The sequence below is a fragment of the Homo sapiens genome, chromosome 19 (genome assembly GCF_000001405.40).
Source record: "Homo sapiens chromosome 19, GRCh38.p14 Primary Assembly".
Classification (NCBI taxonomy): Eukaryota; Metazoa; Chordata; class Mammalia; order Primates; family Hominidae; genus Homo; species Homo sapiens.
In genome coordinates, this window is record NC_000019.10 from 12,805,587 (window position 1) to 12,822,763 (window position 17,177).

General features: G+C 50.8%; 1 protein-coding gene across 1 annotated transcript, besides 3 other annotated features; it reads left to right on the plus strand.

The window, feature by feature from the left end:
* Positions 245-1,277: a transcriptional cis regulatory region, noted in NCBI's record as "promoter|chr19:12916645-12917677 region (GRCh37/hg19 assembly coordinates) targeted for CRISPR interference". NCBI's record gives its function as "positively regulates PRDX2 gene expression in K562 cells {active_cell/tissue: K562}" and the evidence as "EXISTENCE:mutant phenotype evidence [ECO:0000015][PMID:31784727]".
* Positions 722-851: an enhancer, noted in NCBI's record as "active region_14084". NCBI's record gives its function as "activates an Ori minimal core promoter by ATAC-STARR-seq in GM12878 lymphoblastoid cells {active_cell/tissue: GM12878}" and the evidence as "EXISTENCE:reporter gene assay evidence [ECO:0000049][PMID:35858748]".
* RNASEH2A (ribonuclease H2 subunit A) lies at positions 998-8,054 on the plus strand. The gene is made up of 8 exons (NM_006397.3): positions 998-1,214; positions 1,422-1,493; positions 1,620-1,743; positions 1,833-1,920; positions 4,485-4,622; positions 4,731-4,818; positions 7,497-7,620; positions 7,742-8,054. Exons 1-8 carry the CDS (start codon positions 1,088-1,090, stop codon positions 7,878-7,880), a joined length of 900 nt encoding a protein of 299 aa, NP_006388.2. The 5' UTR covers positions 998-1,087; the 3' UTR covers positions 7,881-8,054.
* Positions 1,052-1,101: an enhancer, noted in NCBI's record as "active region_14085". NCBI's record gives its function as "activates an Ori minimal core promoter by ATAC-STARR-seq in GM12878 lymphoblastoid cells {active_cell/tissue: GM12878}" and the evidence as "EXISTENCE:reporter gene assay evidence [ECO:0000049][PMID:35858748]".

Genomic DNA, 17,177 nt, shown 5'->3' on the forward strand with positions numbered 1-17,177 from the left:
GAGACCCTGTCTAAAAAAAAAAGAAGGCCGGGTGCGGTGGCTCACGCCTGCAATCCCAACACTTTGGGAGGCCGAGGCGGGCGGATCACAAGGTCAGGAAATCGAGACCAACCTGGCTAACACGGTGAAACCCCATCTCTACTAAAAAGTACAAAAAATTAGCCGGGTGTGGTGGCGGGCGCCTGTAGTCCCAGCTATTCGGGAGACTGAGGCAGGAGAATGGCGTGAACCCGGGACGCGGAGCTTGCAGTGAGCGGAGATGGCGCCATTGCACTCCAGCCTGGGCGACAAGAGCGAGACTCTGTCTCAAAAAAAAAAAAAAGAAAAAAAAAAAGTGGGTCGAGGGGTGGGGGTGGGGACATTCATTCTAAGTTGGGAGGAATGAGCTTCTATAGGGAGCAGAGACCCTGAGCAGGAGTCCACCGAGGTCTGTGATCTCCAACGGGGGTGGGGAAGGCTTGGCCTGAATGAGACAGAGGTTAGGAAGCACAGATCTTGCACGGAGTGGAGGTGGGCCGAAGGGAGCAACCAAGAGAGGGAGTTTGGGGACTCCAAATCCAAAAGCCTGGGTTTAGTGGAAGCGGGGCTACCTGGTCCAGGGGACTTAGAATGTGTACAGAAGCAGGGACCGCAAGTACAGGGCCTGAATCCAAGTGGCAGTTGGGGACCCAGTGATGCGGTGACCCGTGTCCTGGGAGTGGGGTGATATTTGACTCTCTAGTTCCCCGTTAGGCTGGGTCTTCGAAGCTACGTCTCAGTTTCCCTCTTATTTCCCCCTCTTCCCACCGGGCCACGCAGGCGGGGCCCCAGAGACCGTGAAGCAGAGCTTGCAAAGTGACCCCGTCCACCGAATTCCCCAAGCTGAGTGTTCGGCCATAGCCCTTCGGGACTACAATTCCCAGGAGGGCGCACGGCAGCGACGTCGGCGTCGGCTGCGTAAGCGTCCACGGCGGCGGGAGCGCCAGGGGCGTGTTCTGCCCGCGGATTGGCCGGAAGCAGGCGCCGCTTCGAGGCCCGCGGAAAACGCGCGCCGAGACCCGCTCCTGCAGTATTAGTTCTTGCAGCTGGTGGTGGCGGCTGAGGCGGCATGGATCTCAGCGAGCTGGAGAGAGACAATACAGGCCGCTGTCGCCTGAGTTCGCCTGTGCCCGCGGTGTGCCGCAAGGAGCCTTGCGTCCTGGGCGTCGATGAGGCGGGCAGGGGCCCCGTGCTGGGTGCGCCCCTAGGGCCAGGGAGGGGAGGGGCGTGGTACGGAGGATGCGGGAAACGGGAGTCGGGATTGCACTGCACCAAGGGAGGGGATGTGGTCGTGGTGATGGCACCTAAAGAAGCAGTGATGATAGAACAGGGATGAATGGCAACTTTCACGGGCTCAGTGATTGGACCCCGGCTGCCAGAAAACTGACACCCCTTCTCCCCAGGCCCCATGGTCTACGCCATCTGTTATTGTCCCCTGCCTCGCCTGGCAGATCTGGAGGCGCTGAAAGTGGCAGGTGAGCCCGAGGTGTGCGTCTGGGGAAGGGATTCCTGGGTATGTGCAGGGGCAGGTGAGAACTGAAAGGGGAGGGCAGGAACTGGGAGAACCAGCTGTTCCCCTTCTCTTCCAAACCTCCTCCCAGACTCAAAGACCCTATTGGAGAGCGAGCGGGAAAGGCTGTTTGCGAAAATGGAGGACACGGACTTTGTCGGCTGGGCGCTGGATGTGCTGTCTCCAAACCTCATCTCTACCAGCATGCTTGGGCGGTGAGGGGTCCCCGGGAGGGGCAGCCAGCATGGGCTGACCAAGCTTTGTTCCTAGAATGAGATTAACTGGGCTCTGTTCCCCACCACAGGGTCAAATACAACCTGAACTCCCTGTCACATGATACAGCCACTGGGCTTATACAGTATGCATTGGACCAGGGCGTGAACGTCACCCAGGTGAGTTAACTGTAAGTTGTCCCCATTTGGTCATCTCAGGATAAAATGGGGACAAAACAGGAGTTCGAGACTGCAGTGAGCCATGATCATGCCACAGCACTCCATCCTGGGTGACAAAGGAAGCCCCCCAACTCAAAAATGGAGGCAGGGCGCAGTGGCTCACGCCTATAATCGCAGCACTTTGGGAAGCCGCGGCGGGTAGATCACCGGAGGTCAAGAGTTCGAGACCAGCCTGACCAACATGGTGAAACCCCGTCTCTACTAAAAATACAAAAATTAGCTGGACGTGGTGGCAGGCGCCTGTAATCCTAGCTACTCAGGAGGCTGAGACAGGAGAATCGCTTGAACCCAGGAGGCAGAAGTTGCAGTGAGCCAAGATTGTGCCATTGCACTCCAACCCGGGCAACAGAGCAAGACCCTGTCTCAAAAAAATAAAAAATAAAAAATAAACTAAAAATGGGAGACCAGGCGCAGTGGCTCACGGCTGTAATCCCAGCGTTTCAGGAGGCTGAGGCAGGCAGATCACCTGAGGTCAGGAGTTGAAGACCATCCTGGCCAACATGGTGAAACCTCATCTCTACTGAAAATACAAAAAATTAGCCCAGCATGGTGGCGGGTGCCTGTAATCCCACCTATTGGTGAGGCCGAGGCAGAAGAATTGCTCGAACCCGGGAGGCGGAGGTTGCAGTGAGGTGAGATCGCGCCATTGCACTCCAGCCTGGGGGACAGAGCGAAAAATAAAAATAAAAATAAAATAAAAAATAAATGTGGGCAAAAATGTGCAGTGTGCAGATTCAGCATCAGATACGTCTGGAGTGCCTCGGGCATATTCATTGCTACTGTTGATTTCGTGCTCCTGTTTCTGCCCTAAATGTGTGCCACACTGACGACCACAGTGTAGCCCCTAGTCCCGTCTCCATCTAATCTCTCCCTCATCCTAAAGGCTCAGTCTCCAGAACAAATCCTACATTGTCTACCTGTCACCTCTGTCCTAGCCCAGGACACCCCCCACTCCCTGGACACCTGCTGAGTGTCGTCTCTCGTCCCTCACCCTCCTATCCCCTCCAATCTGTTCCCCAAGCAGCAACAGAAGGTAGTCTTTTTGAAATGCACATCTCGACATTTAGTTTTCCGATCACAGTGGAAATTAAATCAGGAAAATTCACAGTCGAGTGGGGCAGAATTACATTAAATTACCAGAGAAAAACATAAATCAGCATTGCCTCGAATGCTCTCAATGAAAGAATGGACCGTTCTGAGAGAATAACAAGGCAAAATAACCTTGACGTAGGAATTGTATGCTGGGTATGGTGGCTCACGCCTGTAATCCCAGCACTTTGGGAAGCTGAGGTGAGCAAATTGGTTGAGGCTAGGAGTTCCAGACCAGCCTGGGCAACATAGCGAGACTCCATCTCCACAAAAAGAAGAAGAAAGAAAGGAATTATAGCAAGGTAGACCCTGCTGAGGAGGGACCTGAGGACCAGGCCCAAATGCAGAGCTGGCGATACAGTAACTGGTGTAGACAGACAAGGGCCCTACCCGTAGGCGTTCAGGGCCTAGCCTGGGCAGAAAGATGGTCAGCTGGAGGTTGGGCGCAGTAGCTCACGCCTGTAATCCCAGCACTTTGGGAGGCCGAGGCGGGCGGATCATCAGGTCAGGAGTTCGAGACCAGCCTGACCAACATGGTGAAACCCCATCTCTACTAAAAATAAAAAATAAAAAAATAAAACATGAAAGATGGTCAGCTGGTAAACAAAAAATAAAGGTTGTTTCTGAAAACAGTAGTGCTGTGGAGATACCACTTTCCCCCAGCAGCTCTTGGACCCTCTCTTCGGTGCTGCAGCCAAAGGCCCCCATGCATGGGCCCAGCATCATGAACCTGGTCCCAGCTCAGGGCCTTTGTACTGGCTGTTCTCACACCTAGAGCCCTCTTCCCCAGATCTCTGCACAGTTCACTTCCTCACCTCCTTCAAGCCTTTATTCACCACTACACCTAGCTAACTTTTTATTTTTTGTAGAAACAGGGTCTCCATATGTTGCCCAGGTTGGTCTCAACCACCTGCCCTCAAGCGATCCTCCCACTTCGGCTTCCTAAAGTGTTGGGATTACAGGCTTGTGCTAACGCACTCTACCAATTTTTTTCTAGTGTTTTCTGCCACCTCAGTTCCTAGAACAGTATGTGGCATGCAGTAGGTGCTAAATAAGTTAGAGTAAAAGCAGCGTGATAGAGAAAGCCTCTTCAGGAGGTGAGTTTTTTCTTTATTTTATTGTATTTATTTTATGTTTTTATAAAGATGGGGTCTCACTGTGTTGCCAAGCCTGGCCTCAAACTCCCAGGATCAAGCGATCCTCCCGCCTCAGCCTCCCAAAGTGCTGGGATCACAGGCCTGAACAACTTTGCCTGGTCTAGGAGGAGATGTTCGAGTTGAAATCCCTGATTGATCCATCCTGGGGACGTGCTGGAGAAGAGGATTCTGGGTAGCAGGAAGAACGTGCCAGGGCTGTGAGGCTAGAGCATTGGTACAGTTGTTTGTTCAATTAATATGTGTCTGTTGCTGTGGCAGGTATTCGTGGACACCGTAGGGATGCCAGAGACATACCAGGCGCGGCTGCAGCAAAGTTTTCCCGGGATTGAGGTGACGGTCAAGGCCAAAGCAGATGCCCTCTACCCGGTGGTTAGTGCTGCCAGCATCTGTGCCAAGGTCAGTACCCTACTAGCCATGGCTGGCTTCCACCATCCCACTATATAGGGGCCAGGCATGGCCACCAAAGGGAAGGAGGGAGATTCCAGGTGCCTGTTTTGCCCACAGGTGGCCCGGGACCAGGCCGTGAAGAAATGGCAGTTCGTGGAGAAACTGCAGGACTTGGATACTGATTATGGCTCAGGCTACCCCAATGGTGAGCAGACACGTGACCATGGTACTAATGTTGAAATGGCCAGGGCTGAGCACACTTCTGAGGTTTTCTTTTTTTCCTTTCTGTCATTTATCATTTTATTTTGCTTATTTTTTGTTTTTATTTGTTATTTTTGTTTATTTTTTGAGACGGAGTTTCGCTCTTTTTGCCCAGGCTGGAGTGTAATGGTGCGATCTCGGCTCACCGCAACCTCCACCTCCTGGCTTCAAGCGATTCTCCTGCCTCAGCCTCGCGAGTAGCTGGGATTACAGGCATGTGCCACCACACCCAGCTAATTTTGTGTTTTTAGTAGAGACTAGTTTTCTCCATGTTGGTCAGGCTGGTCTTGAACTCCTGACCTCAGGTGATCTGCCTGGCTCAGCCTCCCAAAGTGCTGGGATTACAGGCATGAGCCACCGTGCCCAGCCTATTTTTTGTTTTTATAGAGATGGGGTCTTGTCATGTTGCCCAGGCTGGTCTCAAATTCCTGGAGTCAAGCAGTCCTCCCACCTTGGTCTTTCAAAGTGCTGGGATTACAGCCATGAGCCACCACCCCTGGCCCTTTTTTTCTTCTTTTTTTAAAGAGATGGGGTCTCCCTATGTTGCCCAGCCTGGTCTTGAATTCCTGGGCTTAAGTGATCCTCCTGCCTTGGACTCCCAAATAGCTAGGATTACAGGTGTGAACTACTGTGCCTGGCTGGAGGTTTTCTAAATTGCTCTGGTCACCCTACTCCACAGTGAAAGAGGCCAAGTGTTAGACAGTGGTGCCATTTGTTTATGGCCACACAGCCAGTGAGTGATAGAGCTGAATTCCAGGCCATAGGATTGCTGCTGTCTTCCCCGCTTCCCACTTTGCTGTCTTTCTGGAGCCCCAGTGATGGACTGAGACCCAAGGTGGGCATTTGTCCCTTTGTTAAGGGGAAGGGGACCAGGCGTGGTGGCTCATGCCTGTAATCCCAGCACTTTGGGAAGCTGAGGTAGGAGAACCGCTTGAGTCCTCGAGTTCAAGACCAGCCTGGGCAACATAGCGAGACCCCCATCTCTATAAAAAATTTAAAAAATTAGCCGGTTATAGTGGTGCCCACCTGTAGTCCCAGCTACTCTGGAGGAGGAGGCTAAGGTGGGTGGGTTGCTTGAGCCCAGGAGTTGGAGGCTGCAGTGAGCTATGATTATGCCACTGCACTCCAGCCTTGGTGACAAGATGAGATCTTGTGTCAAAAAAAAAAATAATGTTAGCCAGGCGTGGTGGCTCACACCTGTAATCCCAGGACTTTGGGAGGCTGAGGCAGGTGGATCCTTTGAGGTCAGGAGTTCTAGACCAGCCTGACCAACGTGGTGAAACCCCATCTCTACTAAAAATACAAAATTAGCTGGACGTGGTGGCACACGCCCGTAATCCCAGCAACTCGGGAGGCTGAGGCAGGAGAATTACTTAAACCTGGGAGGTGGAGGTTGCAGTGAGCCGAGATCGCATAATTGCACTCCAGCCTGGGAAATGAGCAAAATTCCATCTCAAAATAATAATAATAATAATAATAATAATATTTAATGACAGGCTGGGCCAGGTGGCTCATGCCCGTAATCCTAGCATTTTAAGAGACAGAGGCAGGTAGATCATGTGAACTCAGGAATTCACAACCAGCCTGGGCAATATGACAAGACCCCATCTCTACAAAAAATACAAAAATTAGGTGTGGTGGTGCGCACCTGTAGTCCCAGCTACTTGGGAGGCTGAGGTGAGAGGATGGCTTGAGCCTGGGAGGCAGAGGTTGCATTGAGCTGTGATAATGTCACTGCACTCCAGCCTGGGTAATAGAGCGAGACCCTATCTCAAAAAAATAAAAAGGCTGGGTGTGGTGTTTACACCTGTAATCCCAGCACTTTGGGAGGCTGAGGTGGGTGGATCACCTGAGGTCAGGAGTTTGAGACCAGCCTGCCTGTCCAATATGGTGAAACCCCGTCTCTACTAAAAATACAAAAATTAGCCAGGTATGGTGGTGGGTGGCTGTAGTCCCAGCTACTTGGGAGGCTGAGGCAGGAGAATCGCTTGAACCTGGGAGGCGGAGGTTGCAGTGAGCCGAGATCGCACCATTGCACTACAGCCTGGGTGACAGAGCAAGACTCCATTTCAAAAAATAAGTAAATAAAATAAAAATGTTTAATGACTTGTTCTTGGAGGTCAAGGAGATGTCTCAGAGGCAGTCTCCCTGCACTGCCCTTTTAGCAGCTCTTGGCCAGGTAAAGGTCCTGTGGCAAGAAGGTGCTTCAGACCATAGGAGGTGCCCCAGGTACTCAGGAGGAAGCCTTAGAAGAGCGGCAAGGAGGCCGGGCGTGGTGGCTCATGCCTGTAATCCCAGCACTTTGGGAGGCCGAGGGGGGTAGATCACGAGGTCAAGCAATTGAGACCATCCTGGCCAACATGGTGAAACCTCGTCACTACTAAAAACACAAAATTTAGCTGGGCATGGTGGCATGCGCCTGTAGTCCCAGCTACTTGGGAGGCTGAGGCAGGAGAATCGCTTGAATCCGGGAGGTGGAGGTTGCAGTGAGCTGAGATCGCGCCACTGCACTCCAGCCTGGCTACAGAGTGGGACTCCATCTCAAAGAAAAAAAAAAGAGTGGCAGGGAGCTTGAATGTTATGGTGCAACTTGGACTGTCACCATTGCCCACCCTACCCCAGATCCCAAGACAAAAGCGTGGTTGAAGGAGCACGTGGAGCCTGTGTTCGGCTTCCCCCAGTTTGTCCGGTTCAGCTGGCGCACGGCCCAGACCATCCTGGAGAAAGAGGCGGAAGATGTTATATGGTGGGTGTCATGGATGTCCTGGGGGTGCTATAGGGAAGGAAGGAGGGAGGCCAGCGTTCAGCCCTGCCTGAGAGGGTTGCTCCCTGTGTAAGTGGTCACTGTCATCACCTCTCTCCCACAGGGAGGACTCAGCATCCGAGAATCAGGAGGGACTCAGGAAGATCACATCCTACTTCCTCAATGAAGGGTCCCAAGCCCGTCCCCGTTCTTCCCACCGATATTTCCTGGAACGCGGCCTGGAGTCAGCAACCAGCCTCTAGCAGCTGCCTCTACGCGCTCTACCTGCTTCCCCAACCCAGACATTAAAATTGTTTAAGGAGAACCACACGTAGGGGATGTACTTTTGGGACAGAAGCAAGGTGGGAGTGTGCTCTGCAGCCGGGTCCAGCTACTTCCTTTTGGAACCTTAAATAGAATGGGTGTTGGTTGATTAATTTTATTTGGTTTGATTTTTTTCATTTTTAAATTTTATTTATTTTATTTTATTTTATTTTATTTTTTTGAGAGACGAAGTCTCACTCTGTCACCCAGGCTGGAGTAGAATGGGGCAATCTCAGCTCACTGCAACCTCTGCCTTCCAGGTTCAAGCGATTCTCCTGCCTCAATTTCCCAAGCAGCTGGGACTATAGGCGTGTGCCATGCCCAACTAATTTTTTTTTTTTTTTGAGACACAGTCTCCTGTTGCCCAGGCTGGAGTACCATGGCACAATCTTGGCTCACTGCAACCTCCACCTCCCTGGTTCAAGCAATTCCCCTGCCTCAGCCTCCTGAGTAGCTGGGATTACAGGTGCACACCACCACACCCGGCTAATTTTCTTTTCTTTTCTTTCTTTCTTTTTTTTTTAATTTGAGACAGAGTCTCACTTTGTCACCAGGCTGGAGTGCAGTGATGCAATTTTGGCTCACTGCAACCTCTGCCTCCTGGGTTCAAGCGATTCTCCTGCCTCAGCCTCCCACGTAGCTGTGACTACAGGCATGCGCCACCACACTCAGCTAATTTTTGTATTTTTAGTAGAGACGGGGTTTCACCACGTTGGCCAGACTGGTCTTAAACTGCTGACCTCAGGCAATCTGCCCGCCTTGGCCTCTCAAAGTGCTGGGATTACAGGTGTGAGCCACTGCGCCTGGCCTAATTTTTGTATTTTTTAGTAGAGACAAGGTTTCACTATATGTTAGTCAGGCTGCTCTCTACCTCCTGACCTCAGGTGATCTGCCCACCTCAGCCTCTCAAAGTGCTGGGATTACAGGCATGAGCCACTGCACCGACCTTTTTAGTTATATTTTTAATTTTTAAAAATTTTTAAATTTTCTTTCTTGAGATGGAGTCTCGCTCTGTCACCCAGGCTGGAGTGCATTGGCTCAATCTTAGCTCACTGTAACCTCTGCCTCCCAGGTTCAAATGATTCTCCTGCCTCAGCCTCCCGAGTAGCTGGGACTACAGGTGCGTGCCACCAGGCCTGGCTAATTTTTTGTATTTTTAGTAGAAACACGGTTTCACCGTGTTAGCCATGATGGTCTCAATCTTCTGACCTTGTGATCCGTCTGCTTCAGCCTCCCAAAGTGCTGGGATTACAGGCGTGAGCCGCCATGCATTGCCTATTTTTATTTAAAAAATTTTTTGAGACAGAATCTCACTCTGTCACCCAGGCTGGAGTGCAGTGGTGCGATCTCAGCTCAGTGTAACCTCCGCCTCCTGGGTTTAAGTGATTCTCCCACCTTAACCTCCTGAGTAGCTGAGGTTCCAGGCACACGCCACGATGCCCAACTAATTTTTGTATTTTTTGTAGAGATGAGGTTTCATCATGTCGCCCAGGCTGGTCTTGTAGTCCTGGGTTCAAGTGATCTGCCCGCTGTGACCTCTCAATGTGTGAGCTACCATACCTGGCTGACTAATATGTAAAATACATGATGTGGCTGGGCGCAGGGGCTCATACATGTAATCCTAGTGCTTTGGAAGGCTGAGTCAGGAGGATCTTGACCAGTCTGGACAACATAGGGTAACAAGAGCGAAACTCTGTCTCAAAAAAAAAAAAAAAAAAAAAAAAATGCTGGGCTGCATGGGGGAAGATAAGAAAAAATAAAGAAAGGTCACGAACCAAACAAAAATCTTGGCGGGCAGGGTGCCGTGTGGCTGCAGTCCCAGCTTTTCTGGAGGTTGAGGTAGGCTCCAGCATGGGCGACAGAGCAAGACCATGTCTCAAAAAAAAAAGCATATCTGCGCATTAATGTTTGGAACAAGCTGCATTCTCTCCAGAAGGACCTAGAAGGCACAGATAAGCCCACCAGTGATTTGGGGCAGGTTGGGATGGAAGCTTCTCAAATGTTCTCCCTTCTTTCTTTGGTTCTGTTTTTGTTGGTTTTATTTTGTTTTGTTTTGAGACAGAGTCTCGTTCTGTCACCCAGGCTGGAGTGCAGTGGCACAGTCTTAAGTCACTGCAACCCCCACTTCCCAGGTTCAAGCAATTCTCCCACCTCAGCCTCCCGAACAGCTGGGACTACACCATGCCCAGCTAGTTTTTGTATTTTTAATAGTGACAGGGTTTCACCATGTTGGCCAGGCTGGTCTTGAACCCCTGACCTCAAGTGACCCGCCTGCCTCGGTCTCCCAATGTGCTGGGATTATAAGTGTAAGCCACTGTGCCCAGTCTGTTTTTGTTTTCTGAGACAGGGTCTCCGTCACCCAGACCGAAGTGTTGCCATGTGATCTTGGCTCATTGAAGCTTCGAATGCCTGGGCTCACAGGGTCCTCCCACCTCAGCCCTGTGAGTAAGTGGAACTACAAGTATGCCACCACGCACAGCCAATTTAAAAAAAATGGCTGGGCGCGGTGGCTCACGCCTGTAATCCCAGCACTTTGGGAGGCCGAGGTGGGTGGATCACGAGGTCAGGAGATCGAGACCATCCTGGCTAACACGGTGAAACCCCGTCTCTACTAAAAATACAAAAAAATTATCTGGGCGTGGTGGTGGGCGCCTGTAGTCCCAGCTACTTTGGATGCTGAGGCAGAAGAATGGCATGAACCCGGGAGGCAGAGCTTGTAGTGAGCCAAGATAGCGCCACTGCACTGCAGCCTGAGTGACAGTGCGAGACTGAGCCTCAAAAAAATAAATAAATAAATAAAATTAAAAAAAATTTGGTAGAGACAGGATCGCCCTGTTGCCCAGATTGGTCTCTCAAATTCCTGAGCTCAAGCGATCCTCCCATCTCACCCTCCCAAAGTTCTTGGGATTACAGGCGTGGGCCACTGCGCCTGCCCTGCTCTCTTTTTTGAGACAGAGTCTTGCTTTGTTGCCCAGGCTGGAGTGCAGTGTTGCAATCTTGACTTACTGTGCCCTCAAACTCCTGAGGTCAAGCAACCCTCCTGCCTCGGCCTTCAAGTAGCTAGCACTGCAGGCGTGTATCACTATGCTCAGCTAAGTTTTTTATTTCATAGAGATGGGGCCTTCCTATGTGAGAGGAGGCCTAGCACTTTGGGAGTCCAACGGTATGTTGTGTTCTTGAGATGAGGTCTCACTCTGTCACCCAGGCTGGAGTGCAATGGCATAATCTTGGCTTACTGAAGCCTCCACCTCCCGGGCTCCAGCGATTCTCCTGCCTCAGCCTCCCAAGTAGCTGGGATTACAGATGCGCACCTCCATGCCCACCTCGGCCTCCCAAGTGCTGGGATTACAAGCGTGAGCCACACGCCCGGCCCCTATACAGTTTTTTTTTTTTTTTTTTCTTGAGATGGATGCTCATTCTGTATCCCACGTCCGACATAGGAGGCTGCGGCAGGAGAATCGCTTGAACCCGGCTGGTGGAGGTTGCAGTGAGCCGAGATTGCGCCACTGTACTCCAGCCTGGGCGATAGTCAGAGACTCAGTCACAAAAAAAAAAAAAAAAAAATTTGGGCTGGGTATGGTGGCTCACGCCTGTAATCCCAGGACTTTGGGCGGCTGAGGCGGGCAGAACACCTGAGGTCAGGAGTTTGAGATCAGCCTGGCCAACATGGCAAAACCCCGTCTCTACTAAAAATACAAAAATTAGCTGGACATGGTGGCAGATGCCTGTAATCCCAGCTACTCAGGAGGCTGAGGCAGAAATGCTTGAACCTGGGAGGTGGAGGTTGCAGTGAGCCAAGATCGTGCCATTGCGCTCCAACCTGGGCAACAGAGTGAGACTCCGTCTCAAAGAAAAAAAATTTTTTTTATAGAGATGGGGGTCTTGCTATGTTGCCCAGTTTGCTCTCAAACTCCGGGCCCAAAGGATCCTCCCACCATAGCCTCCCAAAGTGTTAAATTGTTGAGATTACAGGCATGAGACACAGTGCCCGGCCAAGTGTCCTAATTTCTTATTGTCATTGAATTAGAGCTCACAAATATGACCTCATTTTACTTTAATTACCCCTTTAAACACGCTCTTTCCAAACACAGTCACGTTTTGACATGCTGGGGGTTAGGACTTGAACATATGAATTGGAGGAGACCCATTCAACCCATAACAGAGCATTTCTCCACTCCACGCAAATTCTTTGTAGGACGCAGAAGCCAGCACTGCACCAGCCAGCCAGAATCCCAGAACTGTCCTTTGACAGTGGAGGCTAGAGTGCCCAGGAATGCATGATGGGGGACCCAGCTCTGATCTGGGGGTCTCAGAGCCTGAGGAACTGACTGGCAGAGGTCTGCGGGGTGAATGCGGTGGAATAAGTGACTGGAGGATGGAGGGGGTTCCAGGCATTGGGCACGTGTTGAGGCCTAGAAATGGGAGACCTGGCTTCAAGAAGGCCCGAGAGGCCAGGCGCCGTGGCTCACGCCTGTAATCCCAGCGCTTTGGGAGGCCGAGGTGGGCAGATCACGAGGTCAAGAGATGGAGACTATCCTGGCCAACATGGTGAAACCTCATCTCTACCAAAAATACAAAAATTAGCTGGGTGTGGTGGTGGGTGCCTGTAGTCCCAGCTACTCTGGAGGCTGAGGCAGGAGAATCACTTAAACATGGGAGGCGAAGGTTTCAGTGAGCCAAGATCATGCCACTGCACTCCAGCCTGGTGACAGAGCAAGACTCCGTCTCAAAAAAAAAAAAAAAAAAAGGGCCCAAGAAGAGGGCAGTGAGAGTAGGCATTCGGGAGGAGGTGTGGTCTCCACCCAAGAGACACCCTCTATCCAACCCTCGTCTTGTTGTTATTATTTTGTTATTTGACTTAAAAGCTTATTTTTCTTTTTCTTTTGAGATGGAGACTCACTCTTGCTCCGGCTGTGTTGCAGTGGCATCTCGGCTCACTGCAACCTCCGCCACATGGGTTCAAGTGAGCACATCCGGCTCATTTTGTATTTCTTTTTTTTTTTTTTTTTTTTGAGACTGAGTCTTGCTCTATCGCCCAGGCTAGAGTGCAATGGCCCAATCTCGGCTCACTGCAACCATTGGCTCCCTGGTTCAAGCGATTCTCCTGCCTTAGACTCCTGAGTAGCTGGGATTACAGGCACCGACCACCCCGCCCAGCTAATTTTGTTTTTCTCTTTTTTTTTGAGATGGAATCTTGCTTTGTCTCCCAGGCTGCAGTACAGTGGTGTGATCTTGGCTCACTGCAACCTCCGCCTCCCGGGTTCAAGAAATTCTTCTGCCTCAGCCTCCCAAGTAGCTGGGACTACAGTCACATGCCACCATGCCTGGCTAATTTTTTGTATTTTTAATAAAGAAGGGGTTTCCCCATGTTAGCCAGGATGGTCTCAATCTCCTGACGTCGTGATCTGCCCGCCTTGGCCTCCCAAAATGCTGGGATTACAGGCGTGAGCCACTGTGCCCCGCCTTCTTTGACTTTTTGTAGACACCAGGGGGTGGGTCTTGAAGTCCTGAGCTCAAGGGGTCTCCTGCCTTGGCCTCCCCAAGTGCTAGGATTATAAGTAAAAGCCACCAGCCACCATGTGCAGCCTGCAAATGTTACTTCTTTTTTTTTTTTTTCTGGAATAGAGCCTCACTCTGTCACCCAGGCTGGAGTGCAGTGGTGCGATCTCAGCTCACTGCATCCTCTGCCTCCTGGGTTCAAGCAATTCTCCTGCCTCAGCTCCCGAGTAGCTGGGATTATAGGAACCTACCACCACACCCTGCTAATTTTTGTATTTTTAGTACAGACGAAGTTTCACCAAGTTGGCCAGGCTGGTCTTGAACTCCTGACCTCAGGTTATCCACCCGCCTCAGCCTCCCAAAGTGCTGGGATTACAGGCATGAGCCACCGCGCCCGGCCTGCAAATGTTACTTCTAACAACAGCCTTTGAATTTGTGAGAACTCAGTGCTGGGTCCCCGTCCCAGCAGCGTGAAGCTCACACGGGAGTTGGAAAGAGTCCAGGGTTCCACACTGGCCTGCTGAAGATCCCGAGTGTCATGTTTTTGAGGTTTTTTTTAAGAAACAGAGTTGGCTGGGTGCGGTGGCTCACGCCTGTAATCCCAGCACTTTGGGAGGCCAAGGCGGGTGGATCACCTGAGGCCAGGAGTTCTAGACCAGCCTGGCCAACATGGTAAAACCCCATCTCTACTAAAAATACAAAAATTAGCCAGGCCTGGTGGCAGGCACCTGTAATCCCAGCTACTCCAGGGGTTGAGGCAGGAGAATTGCCTGAACCCGGGAGGTGGAGGTTGTAGTGAGCCGAGATTGCGCCTTTGCACTCCAGCCTGGGGGACAAGAGTGAGACTTCGTCTCAAAAAAAAAAAAAAAAAAAAAAAAAGGCCGGGTGGCTCACACCTGTAATCCCAGCACTTTGGGAGGCTAAGGTGGGCGGATCACGAGGTCAGGAGATTGAGACCATCCTGGCTAACATGGTGAAACCCCATCTCTACTAAAAACACAAAAAATTAGCCAGTGTGGTGGCGGGCACCTGTAGTCCCAGCTACTCGGGAGACTGAGGCAGGAGAATGGCGTGAACCTGGGAGGCGGAGCTTGCAGTGAGCCGAGAATAGCGCCACTGCACTCCAGCCTGGGCTAAAGAGCAAGACTCCATCTCAAAAAAAAAAAAAAAAAAAAAGGGTCTCAGCCAGGCACAGTGGCTCATGCCTATAATCCCAGCACTTTGGGAGGCTAAGGTGGCGGATCACGAGGTCAGGAGTTAAAGACCAGCCTGGCCAACATAGTGAAACCGCTGTCTCTACTAAAAAATACAAAAATCAGCTGGGCGTGGTGGTGAGCGCCTGTAGTCCCAGATACTTGGGGAGGTAAGGTGGGAGGATCACTTGAGCCTGGGAGGTTGAGGCTGCAGTGAGCCGAGATTGCACCACTGCACTTAAGAGCCTGAACAACAGAGTGAGACCCTGTTTTAAAAAAACAAAAACAAGGCTGGGCACGGTGGCTCATGACTGTTATTCCAGCACTTTGGTAGGCCAAGGCAGGTGGATCACCTGAGGTCAGGAATTCAAGACCAGCCTGGCCAACATGGTGAAACCCCGTCTCTACTAAAAGTACAAAAATTAGTCAGGCATAGTGGCAGGCACCTGTAATCCCAGCTAGTAAGGAGGCTGAGGCAGGAGAATAGCTTGAACCTGGGAGGCAGAGGTTGCAGTAAGCCGAGATCGTGCCACACTGCACTCCAGCCTGGGTGACAAGAGCGAGACTCCGTCTCAAAAAACAAAAACAAAAAACCTATGGCTTTCACATGTTTCCTTTTCTAAATGAGGTCCTGAGTATGTGGGACTACAGGCACAAACCATTGCACCTCGCTAATTTTTTTTGGTTTTTGTTTTTTTTGGTAGAGATGAGGTCTTACTATGTTGCCCAGGCTGATTTTGAACTCCTGGCTTCAAGCAGTTCTCCTGCTTCAGCCTTCCAAAGTGCTGGGATTTCAGGCGTGAGCTGTCCTACCTAATTTTGTCCAGCCTAACTTTTTTTTTTTTTTTTATTTTGGAGATGAGGTCTGGCTATGGTGCCCATGCTATTCCCAATCTCCTGGCCTCAAGCAATACAGTCACCTCAGCCTCCCAAGTAGCTGAGACTGTAGCCCGAACTGCCAAACCTTGCATCACACCCTCCTGTCTCTCTCTTTTTTTTTTTTTTCTGAGACACGGTCTCCATCTGTTGCCTCAGCTGGAGGGCAGATGATGGCTCACTGCAACCTCCACCTCCTGGCTCAAGTAATCCTCCCACCTTCAGCCTCCCAAGTAGCTGGGACTACAGGTGTGTGCCACCATGCCCAGCTAATTTTTTTAATTTTTAGTAGAGATGGGGTTTTGCCCTGTTGCCCAGGCTGGTCTGGAACTCCTGACCTCAAAGAATTCATCTGCCTCGGCCTCCTAAAGTGCTAGAATTACAGGTGTGAGCCACAGCTCCTGGTACATCACACTCTATCCTCAGGTTCAAGTGTCTCTGCCTGGCATCCAGTGTCTTCCAGGACCAGATCCCATCTCCCATGGTCTATCCCAGGCTTCCTGGTCAGCTCAGAGTTCCCAGAATATGAAATCTCCAGGCCTTTCACTTGGAATGTCCTCCATGGCTTGATTATCTGACTGGAGATCCTTTAAAGACTTGCTTTACTTCCTTGAATGCTTGTTCCTCCTCCTTGTCACAATAACACAGTCTATAACATCAGTAACCCAGTATGTAACATCATCCACCAGAAGCAATCATAATAGACGGTCTACATTCATTGAGTGATAATTGTGTGCCACACTTTCTAAGCATTTTATTTGACATCCCCCCCATTGGAGGTGGAGTCTATGATGCCTCTCCTTGAATATGAGCTGGCTTCAGTGACTCACTGTAGTGAATAAAAAGTGAGAGATGTCACACTGTGTGAGTTCCAAGGTTAAGTCATCAGAACTGAAACAGATCCCACCTGGCTTGCTCTCTTGGGATATTTCCCTTAGACCGTAGCTGCCATGTTGAGAGGAAGCCCAAGCCACAGAGAGGCCATGTGCAGATATTCTGGCCAACAGCCCCAGCAGAAGTTCAAGGCAACAGCCAACACCAACTACCAGATATGTGAGCAAGGAAGCCTTCAACGTGATTCCAGCCCCAGCCACTGTGTCTGCAAGTATATGACAGATCTTCAGGAAGAACTGCCAAGCTGAACCAAGTCAAACCCCAGAACCATGAAAGATAGTAACTTTTTTTTTTTTTTTTGAGATGGAGTCTCGCTCTGTCACCCAGGCTGGAGTGTAATGGCGTGATCTCGGCTCACTGAAACCTCTGCTTCCTGGGTTCAAGCAATTATCCTGCCTCAGCCTCCTGAGTAGCTGGGATTACAGGCATGCGCCACCACACCCGGCTAATTTTCTGTATTTTTAGTATAGATGGAGTTTCACCATGTTGGTTAGGCTGGTCTCGAACTCCTGACCTCGTGATCCACCTGCCTCGGCCTCCTAAAGTGCTGGTTGTTGTTTCTTTTTTTTTGTTTTGTTTTTTGAGACGGAGTCTGGCTCTGTTACCCAGGTTGGGGCGCAGTGGCATGATCTCGGCTCACTGCAACCTCTGCCTTATGGGTTCAAGTGATTCTCCAGCCTCAGCCTCCTGAGTAGCTGGGATTACAGGCACGCACCACCATGCCCAGCTAATTTTTTATTTTTAGTAGAGACAGGGTTTCACCATGTTGGCCAG

Excerpts from the sequence above, each read along its gene's own strand:
- RNASEH2A (NM_006397.3), top strand. The coding sequence starts at position 1,088 with ATGGATCTCAGCGAGCTGGAGAGAGACAATACAGGCCGCTGTCGCCTG. Across the intron at positions 1,744-1,832 it reads TCTACCAGCATGCTTGGGCG|GGTCAAATACAACCTGAACT; the intron begins GTGAGGGGTCCC and ends TCCCCACCACAG. Across the intron at positions 7,621-7,741 it reads GAGGCGGAAGATGTTATATG|GGAGGACTCAGCATCCGAGA; the intron begins GTGGGTGTCATG and ends TCTCTCCCACAG.